This window comes from Homo sapiens, chromosome 5, assembly GCF_000001405.40.
Source record: "Homo sapiens chromosome 5, GRCh38.p14 Primary Assembly".
Classification (NCBI taxonomy): Eukaryota; Metazoa; Chordata; class Mammalia; order Primates; family Hominidae; genus Homo; species Homo sapiens.
Genome location: NC_000005.10, coordinates 99,623,123 through 99,641,200, shown reverse-complemented (window position 1 = coordinate 99,641,200; position 18,078 = coordinate 99,623,123). Strand labels below are relative to the sequence as shown.

The window sequence follows — 18,078 nt, the reverse complement described above, 5'->3', positions numbered from 1 at the left end:
TCAACAAGTGCACTTCCAGACACCATTTCTTTCAAACCAACAGTGAAATATATAGCAACAGTTAAAAAAAAAAAAAAAAAAAAAACTGCCTCCATGGAATATCACTAGATGGTACCATGCCCTTCTTTCTTGGAGATATAAACACTTAAAATAATTGAGTTTTACCAAAGATGTCCAGAAGTTTCTCTAAATATACTAGAGTGGGATCATTCTGACACAATGACTTATGCCACAAACTACCAAAGGCTGTGAAATGTGCCACCAATATAAATTGTTTTAAAAACAAAATTGGGCAAGTATTTGGAGAAAAGAAATACTGAAGGGCAGACCTGCTAAATCAAAAGGAAGCGATGGGCAATAAATGCCAAGCTACTGAGTTCTTGTGAGATTTACTGCCCGTTCCTACTGTGCAGTAGTCTCATTTTTTTTCATGTGAGGAAAATGAAGTTATTATAAGATATCATGCCAAATCTCATGAAATGTCATGAAAAAGCATTAAAAGTGGTCACTTTCTGCATGAAACTCCTGAAGATGATTTTGTAATTATCTATGGAAAACCAAAGCTATTTATAGAAAAAAAAAACCACCTTGAGTAATTTCATTTTGTTTAGGTTTCTTAATACAGGACATTTCATTCTTTTGTATTTCTTAAATGAGCATATATATGAAAGACATTAAATTCTGTTATTGTTTGTGGTAACTGATGTATTGTTTTAAATAAGGAAGACATTATTGACTCCATCCATTAATATTTTCTCACAAAGAAAATATTAATATTTATACAGGTCTGAATACTGATTTATTTTAAAAAATTAACTGCCATTTGTAAAGATGTGGCCCATGGCAAGGTCCTTCTAAGTACTGTACTCTAACAGCTTTACCTAGAAAAATTCAGTGAAATTCAATAAGTTTGCAACTGAATTATCTAGGTCAGACACACCTCTCCACCAACACACTGCTGTTCTTTCTACAAACCTCTTTGGCTAAATCACTCTAGAATCCTTTCCCAAAATGTAAACATTGGAATTAACTTTGGATGCTCTTTCTTTACACTGACTGTGATGAACTTGGGAATGTTCAACTTCCCAAATCTCTCTGCAAAGACATACTTGTTTTCTAGCTGATAAGAACACTGTCAATAGACAGTTTTCAGGGTTGGCCCCTTCTTAGAAGTTTGCTTTGGCTTCAGAGAGCTGTCTCAGCCAAGGTCATAGTGTTGGGGATGTAGCCCACAACCAGTGACAAATTGCATGGGTGTATACAGACTTGCCTCTTTAGCCAAGTGCAGAGCAACTCTAACCAGGCATTTAAGCAATTCTAAAAACTCCCTATTTGGTCTGTAGAAGCTGCTTGGACTGTATCACAAATTGATTTATCCCACTGCCCATTTCTGCTTCCTCTGTTCCCTTTCTAAAGATATTTATACCATGGGTGGTTTTTAATAAACACACTGAACACTAAACCGTCTCACAGTTTGCTTCCCAGATAATTTTATTTGCAATGCTCTCATACATTACCCCTTAATTATTTTTAGTGGTGCCTCTACCTGTATTGAAAATGCATCTAATTTTATAATTTCTATTGTCCTGTTTTATTATAGACTTAAACATTTCTATATTAGATCAAAGAAAGATCTCCTAACTGGGGCACAATTTTTCTTGTCCTATTTTCTTCAAGTATAATATCTCACACACCAGAAAGAACTTTAAGCAAAATAGATTGTGTTACTGTTCTATCTTTATTCACATAGTGACAAACCAACAATTACAGAATAAGCTTTAACCTTTACATCACATACCAAGTCTATTTTTAAGTTGTGCCCAACTTTTTCAGACTCAACAGTTTGTTCAAACTTCTGTACCCTAGGATTTAGTCTTTGTAACAGTTCCTTCTTCCCTGAAGGAAAGGTACCTTAAACTACCTTTATTTTCTCAATTGAATATAATTACAGTTACTAGAGAAACAATATTATCTTGATGTACATGAGTGTTGATTTGTCCAATAAATTTTGCATTTACCTAAAGAGGCTTATAAGTGGACAAATTTCCACAGGATTTTTATCTTTCAAATATTGACCAAAAGAGTGAAGTAAGGATAACATTTTGTCCAAAATTATTGAAAACTACAGCACGTAGTCCTTTTATAAAACTTTGACATTAACATTAAAAAAATTGTAAGCCAAAAAACTTGTTCTCTCTCATAAAATGTGAACTCATTCAGCAAAGCGCCTACAAAATTGCATATACTGTGTGCCCAGTGTGTGTCAGTTTGTTGAATTAAATGAACTATTGCAAGTTTTAATTAATATTATTTGTGTAAAACTTAAACCATAAATCACACTAATTTTGATATTTTACATATATACATAAAATGTATATTTTAATATTCTACAGTTCTAAATTCAGAAAGTACAAATAAAGGGCAAACTAGAATTTTTTGTTTTATTTTATTTTTTAAAGCTCTTTTTTTCCTATCCATCTTATCTTTAAATTAACTTGTAGGGACTAAATCGATATCTTTCAGGGCTTTTGTTACCTTATCTTGATTTGGTGTCTCTGAACTAACAATGAAAATGCAGCTTATGTTTAGGTTTAGCTTTTCTATTTGAACCTACTAAAGGACAGAACTTAAATTTCTCCAGGCTATCATTCTCATTTAGATTTAAAAATCATTTTCTGTTAAAAAGAGGACATTTCTGCTACCATCATTATTATTTTAAAAATTTTAGCCAATTCTTTCCAAAGTTATCTATCTTCTCTATAGATTCTCTTTGCATGAATTTTAAATAATCTAAGATATTTTCCAAAAACCTTTGAAGGCTCTATAAATGTTAATCATTGTGACTTTCTGGGATTACTTGTATCAGTCTCGCTGAGGATTTAAGAGATTCCTTTTATTTATTCAAAGTCACATATTCTTTTAAAGTCTGTCTTTAGAAATAATAATAATAATGAGGTTTTCTTCATTGGAAGAGTAGACATTTTGGATTTGGGAAAAATTTGTGTTTCCTTTAAGTATTTTTTAGACTAAATATCTCTTTTTTAACTGTTCTTCAGATATCATTTAATCTAGATCCTACCCTGTCTGGGAAACACTCTGTTCATATTCATTTTTACCTAGGTAATATTAAAAGGTGGCATGTAGAGCTGAGCACTAACATTCCAAGAGTCTGATAGTGCAGAGTTTCAATGGGACTGCTATAATTTAGGTTTATGCTAATACAGCCTAAAGTCACTTTAGCCTTTGAACAAATCTTGCTGGAACATGTGATTTATCTGCCCAGGAAGACTTATAGAAATCAAATGTCTCAATCATTTTCAAACAGTGATAATTTTCTTTCAGTATTTTCCCCTTTGCTGACTCCCCTCTTCCACTATTTCTTTATGTTTTCTTCACATTCCTCATACCTCATAGATAGATAGATAGATAGATATAATTTTTTTTTTTTGGTAGAGGCAAGGTCTCACTTTGTCACCCAGGTTGATTTGGAACTCAAGCAATCCTCTCGCCTGGTCTCTGGGATTACAGGTGCAGGCCACTGTGTCTGGCCTATAGTAATTGTTCTCTGTATTTATAAGTATTTGAAATTATCTTTATGACTTTGCTAAATGTTTTGTTGTTACTGTTTTCCTTTTTTAAAAAAGTTTTGTGAAATATCTCACTTTGTTTTTTTTTTTTTTGAGACAGAGTCTCTGTCATACAGGCTGGAGTGCAATGGTCTGATCTCGGCTCACTGCACCCTCTGACTCCCAGGTTCAAGTGATTCTCCTGCCTCAGCCTCCTGTGTAGCTGGGATTACAGGCACCCACCACCACGCCCAGATAATTCTTGTATTTTTAGTAGAGACGGGGTTTCACCATGTTGGTCAGACTGGTCTCAAACTCCTGAGCTCCAAATCTCACTTATTTTTAAATGAAGTAGATTGGAGAGAATCGTAGGGAGATTTTTTGCTTCCCCTCTAAAGCTTGCACTTTATATTCTACACATTTGTTTCCTAGCTTGGATTACCTCTTTGCTGCCCTAAGTTCTTTATCTTGCTTCTCTCTTCATCTTAACTCACACTTGCCTATAAGCCCGTCCACCTAATGAGTAATCAAATAACACTTTCACTTAAACTTCATATTTACTATCTGTACACATTTTAAGTTTAGAGAGATTTGGCTCTTTTAATACATTATGGTTTGAGGTATCATTTCTAAAACTACTTTTCAGAATTTCAAGAAAAAGACAGGCTGCTAATTAGAAATTGTAGACATTCAATAAAAGAAAATCATGTACATTAAATAAATGAAAGACAGAAGAATATCTTTAATCAAGGAAAGAACAATGTCAGCATTTCCCAAGTCTTATTATCGTTTATGTTGCTCTCACTGGTGAGACCCTGAGAGTGTCCAGGAAACCATTTCCTCTACCAAGTTTTAAAACAGTGCATCTTAACCTGACTTTGCTTCTTGTTAAGGAGTATCTAACGGTTTTAATTCCTAAATGTGTCAACACTGCAAACTATAAGAAAACTAGAATAAAAAAGAACACAATTCTATTAAACATCTTGTGTGTGGAAGTTTTATAGCAAGGAGAAAATTATAAATACTGGAAGAGTGCATCAAAAAGAAAATGAATAATGTATCCACTAATACATGAAAAACCATGAGGTCATATGTACAGAATTTGTACAAATTGAAAGGAAGAAGCAGAAGCAGGAGCATACCAAAATAAAAATAATTATTTCTTATTGCTATTGATACTGGTGAAATGGAGCATCACACTGCATTGCTGTGACATAGATTTAACACTTTTGGAAATTAATGAATCTGCATTATGTAGCATGAGTTGTAATAATATTTAAAACTGACATAGTAACTTAGTATCTGATAATATGCCCGTGACTTCCTAATGCATAATCCTATTTTAGCATCTATTATCATTAGCAGACTTATTTTATTGTGTGTTTGTTAGTGGGTTTATTGTCTTTGTTTCCCACTATTTCAATCATTTTATCCGACTGCTTTAATCCTCTTCACCTCCAAATCCACAAACAAACCCACACTTGACGCAAATTTGAATTGAGGGCTAGTGTTTTCTCCCCTTTTTGTTTATTTCTTTTTTCTGCATTGAAATCAATGTTGAGCACATAATAGAAGCTCAGTTAATTTAGTTACAATTGCCCACATGTAAAAACAAACAGACGAACAAAAAACTACCATATGAATTTATTAATTTAAAACCAAATTTAAAAGTTAAAAATTGGAAAAACTACAAACATCCAAAATTTTGGAAATTAGAGCAAAAATGGCAATAACCAATCAAATTAAACAAAAATATATAAACCACTTTGAGTATCAGCCAGTTTATTAGATGATGTCACTAAACTATATATTGAAAAATGCAAATTACACGTTATTGTATATAAAAATTAATATACAAGTGTATTTTGAGGTGCATTAGAACTACATATAAAACAATTTGAAAGAAGAGTTCCAAATCTCATTAACTCATACAGCCCCTTGAGGTTCTTTTCAAAGCTATGATTCCAGAATAGTCAGCAAGCTCAGGGAATTCTCAGACAGCTAATGAAATTCATAGATATAATAAATATGATGAATATTACTTGTAATATGAAGGTAAGGCTACATTTTTAATTATCTGTATGTTTTTATTATTACCAAAACTGGGCAATAAAGGGAAGACAAATTGTGTTATAAAATATATATACAATAGAGCCTCAATTAGTTATTAACATATATTAGTTATTAAAATATACATTTTTATCTTATTTTGCATTTGTTCATTGTATATTAGAATGTAAAGTAAAGGTGGTGGAAATGTCAGATAAATTAACAAAGAGTATAAGATATTTAAAATAAAGGGATGGAGAAAAATCTACCAAGCAAATGGAAAGTAGAAATAAGCAGAGCTTGCAATCTTAGTTTCTGAAAAAACAGACTTTAAACAAACAAAAATAAAAAAAGACATTACATATTAATAAAGGGTGCAATTCAACAAAATCTATCTATCTATCCTAAATATATATGTGCATCCTACACAGGAGCACCCAGATTCAAAAAGCAAGTTCTTAGAGAACTTCAAAGAGACATAGAGTGCCACACAAAAATAGTGAGAGATTTATCACCCCACTGACAATATTAGGCAGACCACTGAGACAGAAAATTAACAAAGATATTCAGCACCTGAACTCAGCACTAGATCAAACAGATCTGATAGAGATCTACAGACCTCTCCACCCTGACACAACAGAATATACATTCTTCTCATAGCAACATGGCACAGACTCTAAAATATCACATGATCAGAAATAAAACCCTCCTCAGCAAATGCAAAAGAACTGAAATCAAAGCAGTCTCTCAAGTCACAGTGCAATCAAATTCAAAATCAAGACAAAGGAATTCACTCAAAACCATACAATTACATGGAAATCGAATAGCCTGCTCCTGAATGACTTTCGGGTAAATAATGAAATGAAGGCAGAAATTAAAAAGTTCTTTGAAACTAATGAGAACAAAGATAAAATGTACCAGAATCTCTGGGACACAGCTAAGGCAGCATTAACAGAGAAATTGATAGCACCAAATGCTCACATCCAAAAGTTTAGAAAGATCTCAAATTAACCACATAACATCGCAACTAAAAGAACTGGAGAACCAAGAGCAAACAAATCCTAAAGTTAGCAGAAGACAAGAAATAACAGAAATCAGAGCTGAACTGAAGGAAATGGAAACACAAAAACAATCCAAAAGATCAATGAATCCAGGAACTGGTTTTTTGAAAAAATTAATAAAATAGATAGACTGCCAGCTAGACTAATAAGAAAAGAGAACATTCAAATAAAAACTATCATAAATGACAAGGGGGATATTACCACTGACCCCATAGAAATACAAACAAACATCAGAGGATATTATAAACACCTCTATGCACATAAACTAGAAAATCTAGACCATGATCATCACTGGTATGTGAAGCTGACTCGACAAACACAAATCAATAAATTTGATTCATCACATAAACAGAACTAACGACAAAATGACATAATTATCTCAATAGGTGCATAAAGGCCTTCAATAAAATTCAAAATCCATTCATGTTAAAAAAAACTGTCAATAAACTCGGTATTGAAGGAACATACCTCAAAATAATAAGAGCCATCTATGACAAACCCACAGCCAACATCATACTGAATGGGTAAAAACTGGAAGCATTCCCTTTGAAAACTGGCAAAAGACAAGGATGCCCTTTCTCACTACTACTATTCAACATAGTATTGGAAGTTCTGGCCAGGGCAATCAGAAAAGAGAAAGAAGTAAAGGACATTCAAATAGTAAGAAGGGAAGTCAAATTATCCCTGTTTGCAGATGACATGATCCTATATCTAGAAAATCCCATAGTTTCAGCCCCAAAGCTTCTTAAGCTGATAAACAGTTTCAGCAAAGTCTCAGGATGCAAAATCAATTTGCAAAAATTACTAACATTCCTATACAGCAACAACAACAGTCAAGCCAAGAGCCAAATCAGGAAGGAAGTCTCATTCACAATTGCCACAAAAAGAATAAAATACATAGGAATACAGCTAACTACAGAGGTAAAAGATCTCCCTTTCCTTGTCTTCTTGTAGAGACAAGAAGGACTACAAGCCATTGATCAGAGAAATCAGAGATGACAGAACTGAAAGAAAAAACATTTCATGTTCTTAGATAGGAAGAATCAATATCCTTAAAATGGCCATACTGCCCAAAGCAATTTATAGATCCAATACTATTCCTATTAAGCTGCCATTTATATTCTTCACAGAACTAGTAAAAGCTATTATAAAATTGATATGGGGCAAAAAAAAAATAGCCCAAATAGCCAAGCAATCCCAAGCAAAAAGAACAAAGCTGGAGGCATCATGCTACCTGACTTCAAATTATACCACAGGACTACAGTAACCAAAACAGTATGGTACTGGTACAAAAACAGACATATAGACCAATGGAAAGGAATGGAGAATCCATTAATAAGACCACACACTTACAACTATCTGACCTTTGACAAACCTGACAAAAACAAACAATGGGGAAAGGATTCCCTATTCATTAAATGGTGCTGGAATAACTAGCTAGCCATATGCAGAAGATTAAAACTGGACCCCTTCCTTACACCATATACAAAAAAGAACTGAAGAGGTATTAATGATTTAAATGTATCACCCCAGCATATAAGAACCCTGGAAGACAACCTAGGCAATACCATTCAGGATATGGGTATGGGCAAAGATTTCATGATGGAGATACCAAAAGCAATTGCAACAAAAGCAAAAATGGACAAATGGAATTTAATTAAGCAAAATAGCTTCTGCACAGCAAAGGAAACTATCATCAGAGTAAACAGACCACCTACAGAATGGGAGAAAATTTTTGCAACCTATGCATTTGACAAAGGTCTAATATCCATCATTCATGAGGAACTTAAATTTTCAAGAAAAAACAATCAACCCCATTGAAAAAGCGGGCAAAGGACATGAACATGACCAGACACTTTTCAAAAGAAGATATACATGCAGCCAACAATCATATGAAAAAAAAGCTCAACATCACTGGTCATTAGAGAAATGCAAATCAAAACCACGATGAGACACTATCTAACACCAGTCAAAATGGCTGTTGTTAAAAAGTCAAAAAATAACTGATGCTGGTGAACACGCAGTGAAAAAGGAAAGCTTATACACTGTTGATAGAAGTGTAATTTAGTTCAACTTTTGTGGATGACAGTGTGGTGATTCCTCAAAGACCTAAAGACAGAAATACCATTCAACCTAGCAATCCCATTACTGGGTATATACCCAAAGGAATATAAATTTTTCTGCCATAAAGACACATGCGCATGTATGTTCATTGCAGCATTATTCACAATAACAAAAACATGGAATCAACCTAAATGTCCATCAATGATAGATTGAATAAAGAAAATGCAGTATATATACACCATTGAACACTATACAGTCATAAAAAAGAATAAGATAATGTCCTTTGCAGGGACACGGTTGGAACTGGAAGCCATCATTATTAGCAAATTAACACAGAAACAGTACACCAAATACCACATGTCCTCACTTATAAGTGGGAGGTAAATAATGAGAACACATAGCCGCATAGAAGGGACAAACACAGACTGGGGCCTGTCAGAGGGTGGAGGGTGGGAGGAGGGAGAGGATGAGGGAAAATAACTAAGAGTACTAGGTTTAATACCTAGGTGATGAAATAATTTGTGTAACAACAACACCCCATGACACAAGTTTACCTATACAACAAACCTGCACATGTATCCCTGAACTTAACATAAAAGTTTAAAAAAGTATAAATTCTTATTGCATTTTAAACCAACAATTAAATAAAATCTCCACTCAGAAAGTTAAAAAATAAAAATAAAAAAATAAAATCTGAAAATTATGCCTATAAACAAAACATTACTATAAAGACTTAGAAATTATTATAAGGTTAACTCAATAGAAATTTCACATATACACGTACACACATATATGTGTGTATGTATACTTAATGGTGAGCCATTGGCATGTTGATCATTGAAAACATTTATTTAAAACATCTAGATTTTAAGCAAAAACACTAAAAATAAATTGGCTCATAATTTTGGAGGGTAAAAATTTATTTGTATCCAAGGAATAACCTAATGTAAGTGAACAATTATAAATACAAAAATACGCATACATTTTAGTTAATATTTTAAATTCTAGTCCAAAATTCAATTAAATCTTATAGAATACATCTGAATTTTTCTAAGTCTGAGTGCCCCCAAAGGTCAAAAGAAAATTCAGAGACTTCAGTCTCAAAATGATAAATTTCCGATATTTTTTCTGTTGCAATTAATGGATGTATTAGGAGTGATGTTTAACTTTACAAACTTTTTATTAAACTTTTTTATAAACTTTTATTTACCAAAATATGTTTTGCCTAAAATAAATTGCATCTTATGTTTAATACTCTCCCTAACTCACTGATAAAAATGCTTTGTGTTATTCATAATATTGTCTCTATTAGATATTTTGTTATTTACTTATATGTTATTTGTCTCTCTTCCTCATAATTTTGGTTCTAAGAATATTAGTCCAATTCAACATTTTAATGCCTAGAGCCTAGAATACTGTCTGGTTTATTTTAAGAACATAGTAAATGTTTGATTAATGACATCTACCTGGATCATATTCAAGTCATAGTACCGAGACTTTGTTTTTGTAAATTTATATTTATTATTCAATACAACTTAGTAACTAGGATGAAAAAAAGTAACACACTAATCACAATGAGAAAAATAAAAAGTGTGACCATATCAAGTAAAGTGATAACACTATAATTATACTAAAGTGATATGGTTTGGCTGTGTCCCCACCCAAATCTCATCTTGAATTGGAACTCCCACAATTCCCACGTGTCATGGGAGGGACTCAGTAGGAGGTAATTGAATGATGGGGGTGGGTCTTTCTCATGATATTCTCATGATAGTGAATAAGTCTTACAAGATCTGATGGTTTTAAAAAGAGAGAGAGCTTCCCTTGCACAAGCTCTCTCTCTTTGCCTGCTGCCATTCATGTAAGTCGTGACTTGCTCCTCCTTTCCTTCCACCATGATTGTGAGGTTTCCTCAGCCATGTGGAACTGTAAATCCATTAAAACTCTTTCTTTTGTAAATTTCCCAGTCTCAAGTATGTCTTTATCCGCATTGTGAAAACAGAGTAATACACAAGGCGATGGAATTATGCACATTAGTGAAAATGAGTGAACGTTTTCTAAATCAATGGTATGAGTGAATCTCCCAACCATAACTTTAAATGAAAGCAGACAGACAGATAAATCATGAAAACTGGCAAATCTATACAATGGTAATAAAAGTCATAATACTGAGTGCTTTTGGGAAGGGTGATAATGACTGGAAATGCACAAAAAGGGACATGTGGGTACATTAATTTTCTATTTCTTATCAATCTTGTGGTTCCACAGCATATTAACTTTGAGACAATCTATTGAACTGAACATTGTGATTTGTGTACTTTTTTGTATGTACGCCATATTTCAATAGTAGTTCACTTTTTAAAAAGGGGTAGATTTTCTGAGATAGGATAAGAAACTATTTTTATATTTTATAAGTTGAAAAAGAAGCTATTTTGAAATCCTTGTTTAGGAGGTAGAGTTAGATAGCAGTAGGGTCAGTTCCTAAACATTGATCCTTAGAAAATCATAATTTTGCTACAGAGAGAAAAAAGAGAAATGAGATCAAATTTCACATGACTAAAATGTGATCTTTAAAACTACATTGAAATGCATGCTTAGCAATATATTATTCATTTCTAAACGTAAGTGAAAAGTAAATACACTTGATTGCAGTAACTGTGAAAAACATATACATCAAAGTGACATGATCTTGAATTGAAACCACATTTACTTAGTCTCTCTTGTTTCATATACCAAAAATATCAGAAAAGGGAACAAAGCACTGCAATGTCTTTATAATTACCTTGTTATTATTTTTAAATATAGTAAAATTAGACTTTTATTCATTACAAAACCACAGACTTGATATGTTAATTGGCCTCTGGTTTTATCCCAAATAAAATATCTAATTAATTTAGGAACTACTTTTATCCATGCTATATTGTCATTCGTTATTAGCCTAAAGTGCAAATAAGCCTATCACTAAAGTGGGAGTCATTATTTGTCCATTAAATAGAGAAGTGAGAAAAAAAGGACATCAAATAAAAAAGGAAATTATTTAATGCAATAAGTCATCTGCTATTACTTGATTTTATTTGTTTGTTTTTGTTTTTCCAGTAACTTACAGGGCTAAGGATACAACTCAGAGTGGGCCAGAGGAATTTTTTCTTATTTCGTCAGATGCGAAGTTGATTCAGATTACCAGGTCTCAGGAGAATGTAAAAGGACAGGAGTACAAAATGCAAGCCAGTGTAGAAGAAAATTGAAGATACTCACGGGTTTCAGTAACTTAAGCAGGGGAAAAAAGGCATCCCTACACTCAGGTTTAAATACAAAATTTCAACTTTCCTATAATTTAGTAACATTTAGTTTGATTTATGGCAAGTGCTATTAAAATTCTATTTCAACAATTTTGTGACCAGTGAGTTTTCAGAAATCTTTCTTTCAGACATTACTAGGAGTTCAGGAATACAGAAATAGGATGGACAATAGGCTACCAAAGACCGTATTTTATATGAATTGATCATGAAACTTATGCCCACCCCAGGCAGCAGCAGCAAGGTGCTCAGAATATCTGGGCACTGGGGGAGAGAGAACCCACCCTTTATGAGGCATTGAACTCAGTGCTGTGCTATTAGAACAGGAAGGAAAACCAGATCAAACTTAGCTGATGCTCTCACACAGAGGGAGCATTTAAACCAGCCCTAGCCAAAAACGAATCACTAATTCTAGCAGTATCACTCCACCTGTAACAACAGGCTGCACAGCTCACAGATCCAAGAGAGATCTTATTCTTCCACTTGAGAAGAGGAGAGGGAAGAGTGGGGAGGACTTTGTCTTGCATCTTGGATACTAGCTCATCCACAGCAGGATAGGGCAACAGTCAGAGTAATGAGGCTCCACTCTAGCCCCTAGCTCTCAGATGACACTTCTAGACACACCCTGGGCCAGAAGAGAGGATGCTGCCTTAAAGGAAAAAAACAGTCCTGCCGGCATTCATCATTCACCAACTAAAGAGCCCTGGGCCCTGAATAACCGGTAGTGATACCTAGGTACTACATTAAGGGCCTTGGGAGAGTCTCTGAGACTTGATGACTTTTCAGGTGAGACTCAGCATATTAGCAGCAATGGTGGCTATGGGGCAAAACTCCTTCTGCTTGAGAAAATCAGGGGGAAAAGTAAAGGGGATTTTTGTCTTGCACCTTAGTTAACAATACTGCCACAGTGGGGTAGAACACCAAATGGGCTCTTGGGTCCCTGATTCCAGGATTTGACTCTCAGATGGCATTTCTGGACATGCCCTGCCTGGGTCAGAGGGGAGCCCACTGCCCTGAAGGGTGAGTCTCAGGCCAGGCAGCATTCACCACAAGCCAACTTAAGAGACCTTGGGCCTTAAGGGAACATGGTTGGTAGTCTGACAGTATTCCTTGTGGCCTGGGGTGGCAGTGGCTACAGGAGGAGGCTCCTCTGCCGTTGGCAAAAGGAGGGGTAGGGAAAGAGTGGGAAGGTCTGAGTCTTGTGGTTTGAGTGCCCACTCAGCCACAATACAATAGAATACCAAGTAGTCTTCTAAGATCTTTGACTGTAATCCGTGATTCCCAGATGACACTTCTGGACTCATCTGGGGCTTGGGGGACCTCGCCCCCCATGAAGGGAAGACACAAGTCTATCTGGCTTTGCCACTTGTTAATTATAGAGCCCCAGGGCCTTGAGTGAACGTAGGCAGTAGCCAGGGAGTGGGTACATCAGGCCTTCTGTGAGACCCAGTGCTGTGCTGGCTTCAGGTCTAATCCAGTCAGTCATAGAGGTGGTGGCCACAGGGGTGCTTGTGTCACTCCACCCCCAGCTTTAGGTGGCTCAGAACAGAAAGAGAGAGAGAGAGAGAGAGAGAGAGACTCTATATGTTCGACATAATGTAAAGGAAGAGAAAAAGAGTCTCTGCCTGGTAATTCAGAGAACTTTCCTGGATACTCTTCAAGGCCATCAAGGTGGTGCATCTCTGAGTTTGCAAGAACAACAACATTATTGGGTTTGGGGTGCTCTTTAAAGCAGAAATAGCTTAGATCACAAAACTCAAGTCCTTGAAAATATCTGGAAAACCTTCCCAATAAGGGTGGATAAAAAATAAGCCCAGATAGTGAACACTACAATAAATATCTAACTATTCAATGCCCACACATGGAAGAACATCTGCTGGCTTCAACGCCATCCAGGAAAAAACAAACACACCAAATGCACGAATAAGGCACCAGGGAGAAACAGAGATCCTGGAAATCTCCTGGATAAACAGAAATATGTCATCTTTCAGACAGAGAATTCAAAATACCTGTGTTGAGGAAACTCAAAGAAATTCAAGATAAGAGACAAGAAAGGCAGAATTCTATCAGCTAAGGTTAACAAAGAGATTAAAAACATTGAAAATAATGCAGCAGAAATTCTGGAGTTAATGAATGCAATTGGCATACTGTAGAATGCATAAGAGTCCTTTAATAGCAAAATGGATCAAGCAGAAGAAAGAATTAGTGAGCCTGAAGATAGGCTATTTGAAAATACACAGTCAGAGGATACAAAAGAAAAAAGAATAAGAAAACTATGAAGCATGACTACAGGATCTAAAAAAATAGCCTCAAAAGAGAAAATCTAAGAGTTACTGGCCTTAAAGAGGAGGTAGAGAAAGACACAGGGATAGAAAGTTTATTCAAAACAATAATAAGAGAACTTCCCAAACCTAGAGAAAGATATTAATATCCAAGTACAAGAAGGTTACAGAACACCAAGCAGATTTAACCCAAAGAAGACTACATCAAGGCATTTAATAATCAAACTCCCAAAGGTCAAGGATGAAGAAGGGATCCTAAAAGCAGCAAGAGAAAAGAAACAAATAACATACAATGGAGCTCTAATTGATCCGGCAGTAGACTTTTCAGTGGAAATCTTATGACGGGAGAGAGTGGCATGAAATGTTTAAAGAGCGGAAGAAAAAAACATCTTTTATTCTAGAACGGTATATCTGGCAAAAATGTTCTTCTAACATGAAGGAGAAATGTCCCAGACAAACAAAAGCTGAGGATTTCATCAATACCAGACACACCCTACAAGAAATGCTAAAGAGAGTAAGTACTTCAACCTGAAAGAAATAGAAATTAACAAGAAATAAATAATCACCTGAAGGTACAAAATTCAATGGTAATAGTAAGTACACAGAAAATCACAGAACATTATGACATTGGTACTGTGGTCTGTAAACAAGTTTTATCCTAAATAGAAAGATTGAATGATGAACTAATCCAAAGTAATAAGTATAACAACATTTCAAGACATAGTCATTAGAGTAAGAGATAAATAGAAACAACAAAAGTTTAAAAAGTTGGGGGACAAAGTTAAAGCAAGTTTTTCTTGGTTATCTTTTTGCTTTTTTGTTTATACAAATAGTGTTAAAAATGTTATCAAGTTAAAATAACTGGTTATAAGATTGCATTTGCAAGCCTCATCTCATGATAATCTCAAAACAAAATTTAAAAAAAAAACATACAATGGAAACAGAAAAAATAAAAAGCAAGGCTGGGCACTGTGGCTCACACTGTAATCCTAGCACTTTGGGAGATGGGTGGATTACCTGAGCTCAGGAGTTTAAGACCAGCCTGGACAACATGGTGAATCCCTGTCTTTACTAAAAATATAAAAATTAGCCAGGTGTGGTGGCACACACCTATAATCCCAGCTACTCAGGAGGCTGAGGCATGAGAATCACTTGAACCCGGGAGGTGAAGGTTGCAGTGAGCTGAGATCACACTAATGAACTCTAGCCTGAGCAACAGAGTGAGACTCTGTCTCAATAAAAAATAAAATAGAAAGCAAGAAACTAAATCATATCACCAGAAAAAAAATCACCTTCAGTAGAGGAAGATAGGAATAAAAAAAAAGAAATAAAAAGATCACAAAACAACCAGAAAACAAATAAAAACATGGCAGGAGTTAGTCCTTACTTATCAATGATAGCATTAAATGAAATGTACTAAACTTTCTAATCAAAACACATAAACTAGCTGAATGGATGAAAAAATGAGAACTATTGATATGTTGCCTACAAGAAACACATCACCTGTAAAGACACATAGAATAAAAATTAAGGTATGGAAAAAGGTATTACATGCCAATGGAAACCAAAAACAAACAGGCATCAGTATGCTTACACAGAATTGATTTCAGGATGAAACTATGAGAAGAGACAAAGAAGGTCACTCTATAATGAAAAATGGGTCAATTCAGAAAGAGAATATGACTATTTTAAATATATATGCACCCAACACTGGAGCATCCAGATATAGAAATAAAATATTGTTAGAGCTAAAGAGATAGAAAGGACTCAATACAATAATAGCTGGAGACTTCAATACCCCATTTTTAGCATTGGACAGGCCTTCCAGACAGAAAATCAACAAACATCACATGTAATCTGCACAATAGACCAAATGGATCTAATATATACTTACAGAACATTTCATGCAAGGGCTGCAAAATACACATTCTTTTTCTCAGCACATGGATCATTCTCAAGGCTAGACCATATGTTAGGTCACAAAACAAGTATCATAAACATTCAAAAATTTAAAATAATATCAAGCATTTTCATGAACTACAATGGAATAAAACTAAAAATTAATAAGAAGAGGAGTTTTGGAAACTATACAAATACATGGAAACCAAACAATATGCTCCTGAATGACCAGTAGATCAACGAGGAAATTAAGAAGGAAGTTGAAAAATATCTTGAAAGAAATGATAATGGAAATATGACATACCAAAACCTATGGGATACAGCAAATGCAGTACCCAAAGGGAAGTTTATGGCTATAAATGGCTTCGAAACTGAAGACAAACTTCAAATAAGCAATCCAACAATGCATCTTAAAGAACTAGAAAAGCAAGAGCTAACAAAAAATCAAATTAATAGAAGAAAAGCCATAATAAAGATTATAGCAGAAATAAATAAAATTTCAATAAAAACATACAAAAGATCCATTAAACAAAAAGTGGGTTGAAAACTTAAACAAAGCTGACAAACCTTTAGCAAACTAACTATGAAAAAACAAATAGAAGATCCAAATAAATAAAATCAGAAATGAAAAAGGAGACATTACGACTAATACTACAGAAATTCAAAGGAACATTAGTGGCTACTATGAGCAACTCTATGTGAATAAATTGGAAAATCTTGAAGAAATGGACAAATTCCTAGATACATACAACTACCAAGATTGAACCAGGAAGAAATCTAAAACCTGAACAGGCCAATAGCAAGCAACCTGTTGAAGCTGTAATAAAACATGTGCCAGTAAAGACAAGCCCAGAACTTGATGGTTTCACCACTGAACTCTACCAAACATTTAAAGAAAAACTAATGCCAATCCTACTGAAACTATTCTGAAAAATAGAAGAGGAGGGAATACTTCCAAACTCATTCTATGAGGCCAAAATTACCCTGATACCAAAACCAGAAAAAGACATATCAAAAAAGAAAGAAAACTACAGGCCAGTATCTTTGATGAATGATATTGTCTCACCCCAGTTACGATGACTTATATCTAAAAGACAGGCAATAACAAATGCTGGTAAAAATGTGGAGAAAGGGGAAATCTCATACACTGTTGGTGGAAATGTAAATACGTACAACCATTATGTAGAACAGTTTGGAGGTTTCTCAAAAAACTGCAAATTGAGCTACCACATGATCCAGCAATCTCACTGCTGGATATTTATCCAAAAAAAGGAAATTAATATATTGAAGAGGTATCTGTAATCCCATGTTTGTTGCAGCTGTTTACAATAGCTAATATCTGGAAGCAAACTTAGTGTCCATCAACAGATAAATTTTAAAAAATTTGGTACTTATACACAATTGAATACTGTTCCGACATTAAAAATAATGAGATTCAGTAATTTTCAACAACATAGATGGAACTGGAGATCATTATGTTAAGTGAAGAAAACCAAGTACAGAAAGACAAACATCACATGTTCTCACTTATTTGTGGGATGTGAAAATCAAAACAATTGAGCTCATGGACATAGAAAGAAAAGGAAGGTTACCAGAGGTGGGGAAAGATGGCTGGAGGGGAGGTGGGGATGGTTAATGGGTACAAAAAAATAGAAAGAATGAATAAGACCTACTCTTTGATAGCACAGTAATGTGATAGTAGTCAATAATAGTAAATAATAACGGTACACTTTAAAATAACTTAAAGAGAATAATTGTATTGTTTGTAACTCAATGAACAAATGCTCGAGGCAATAGATACCCGATGTTTCATGATGTACTTATTTCACATTGCATGCCAGTATCAAAACATTTCATGCAC

The 18,078-nt window shown here is 34.4% G+C and overlaps 1 annotated feature.

Moving 5' to 3' along the window:
• Positions 1,029-1,229: a silencer, noted in NCBI's record as "peak5369 fragment used in MPRA reporter construct". NCBI's record gives its function as "represses an SCP1 promoter by STARR-seq MPRAs in K562 erythroleukemia cells {active_cell/tissue: K562}" and the evidence as "EXISTENCE:reporter gene assay evidence [ECO:0000049][PMID:32103011]".